This window comes from Homo sapiens, chromosome 1, assembly GCF_000001405.40.
Source record: "Homo sapiens chromosome 1, GRCh38.p14 Primary Assembly".
Lineage (NCBI taxonomy): Eukaryota > Metazoa > Chordata > Mammalia > Primates > Hominidae > Homo > Homo sapiens.
The window spans coordinates 77,075,569-77,077,969 of NC_000001.11; the positions used below are offsets into that span (position 1 = coordinate 77,075,569).

The 2,401-nt window shown below is 39.9% G+C and overlaps 1 annotated feature.

Annotated features, from left to right (window-relative positions):
- Positions 1,678–1,787: an enhancer, noted in NCBI's record as "active region_1213". NCBI's record gives its function as "activates an Ori minimal core promoter by ATAC-STARR-seq in GM12878 lymphoblastoid cells {active_cell/tissue: GM12878}" and the evidence as "EXISTENCE:reporter gene assay evidence [ECO:0000049][PMID:35858748]".

A 2,401-nucleotide genomic window follows, 5' to 3' on the forward strand; every position in this document is an offset into this window, starting at 1 on the left:
GATGCATATTAGATCTTCTGTTTTATCCTCCATGTTCTTAATCATTTTTCCATGTTTTTCATCTCCCTGTCTTTTGTGTCACATTCTAGGTCATTTCTTTAATTCTGTTTCCTAGTTTGTTAATTTTCTCTTACCTGGTCCACGCTATTATTTAATTCAATTCAACCCAGACCATCTGACCAATTCAAAGCAATATCCTTTGGCTCAAACCTATATTTCTGTTAATACATTTTTTTAGGATGCAACATTCCTTTGTAGGCTTCTCATCAGACACGTATCTGTATAATCTATGTAAAATCACAAAATACCAAAGGAAATATACCAGCATAAGGGAGATTCAACAGAAATAACAAACAACAATTTAGAAATGTGAATTATTTATCAGATAAAGAATATACAATAATTACATATGGAATATTTAAAAATACTTAAAATGGATTTTTAAAAGAGCAAGTTGTCATAGGATCAACTACATTTCCCAGTAGCATCTCAGTCAGTTTGGGCTGCTATAACAAATTACCATAAACTGGGTGGCTGAAACAAGCATTTATTTCTCACAGTTCTGGAGACTGAGAAGTCCAAGATCACTGGTGCTGGCAGATCCGGTGTTTTGTGAGGGCCTGCTTCCTGGTTTAGGGATGTCATCCTCTTACTTGAATCCCACGCTTCCTCCTCTTTTGAAAAGGGTATTGATCCCATTCATTTAGGCTCCACCCTCATGAGCTAATTATCTCTCAAAGGCCCCACCTCCAAATATCATCACATTGGAGAATAGGCTTCAACATGGAAATTTTGGGAGTGGGAGTGCACAAACATTCAGCCCATAGCAGCATCTTCTTATAATCCTGTATACTAAGCCATAGAAACCTCAACAGAAGAAACAATCAGCCTAAATAAAGAACTTAACATTTATCTATGTTAACTTTAATTGTACTGGTGTCAGCTTGTCAAAATAATTTTAATTCTGTCATCTCTTGGACATCTAATCCCTTATTGTTTGTGCCACGTGTAAAGTTGATAAGCATATTATTAGGAGATGGTAGTCCAGCCACAGATTCCCTGCAGGATAATAGAAAGCTGCTAATTTGGATATGACTGATCCACCTGGTATCTGTTACTTGATCCAAAGCGTATTTCACTTGATTTTACAAGGATGCAGTGGAAGGCTTTAGCAAACGTGTTGCTGAAATACAAACATTTTCCGACTATATTATCCCCCTGGCCTGTCACCAGCCTAAAAAGAAAATCAAGTTGGTACCTGGTGAGAGCTGCATTCCTTCTTGTAAGTTCTTGCTTCAAACGTAGAATTTTCAAAGCCCTTTTTTGGTGTCTTCATTCATTTTACAGCATGATTGTTTCCTGCAGTATTCTACTATGATTTCAGCTTCCTCTTTTCTTGGACTGTGTTACAAACATATTCTTTTGCCTCTGGTGCCCACATGTTAGCCTCCTTCCTTTCCTGGATTTCAGACATATGAGTCTCATTTGAGCTGGCCTGGCATTTTTAATAAGGGATTAAAACCAGACAAGATGTTGGGAGGGTTACCTTGATTTTTCTCATGCCCTGCTGTATTATTCCACTCTTACTTTGCTAATAAAGACATACCCAAGACTGGGTAACTTATAAAGGAAAAGAGGTTTAATGGACTCACAGCTCCACATGGCTGGGGAGGCCTTGTAATCATGGCAAAAGGCGAAGGGGCAGCAAAGCCACATCGTGCATGGCAGCAGGCAAGAGAGAAGTGTCAGCAAAAGTGGGGAAAACCCCTTCTAAAACCATCAGATCTCATGAGAACTCACTCACTATCATGAGAACAGCAGCATGGGGGTAACCGCCCCCATGATTCAATTACTTCCCACTGGGTCACTCCCACAGTACATGGGGATTATGGGAACTACAATTCAAGATGAGATTTGGGTGGGGACACAGCCAAACCATATCACCTGCCTTTTCGCTACTAGTACTTGTCATTTTTGAGTTTGTAACAAGATATGGATTTGACTGTTACCAAAATAGGCCATGCAGCTAATAGGCTCTTCATGAGACTAGAACTATCTTTTTTCATCAAATCCAAGATCTTGAAGGAGAGGCATCGCTAGCCAGGCTCACTCACAGGGTGAGAGCAGACCATACTAAACTGGCAAGAGATTTGTGTCACAATGTGCCAAATTGGGGTGTTAGTCCTCAGAATAAGTTTTTGGATTTTGGCCAAGTATTTTCAGCGTAGACAGTATTGTCAGTAGCAGCAGGTTTCACTGAGGAGCCAGGGCTGAAATTGAAGGTAAGCAGAGAGAAGCAAGCACAGACAAAGAGGAGGGAAACTCTCAGGGGTGGAGAAGAGAGCTTGGAAATAAAACTAGAAATCTAGGTTGTGGTGACATTATTGCAGACATTGAACTC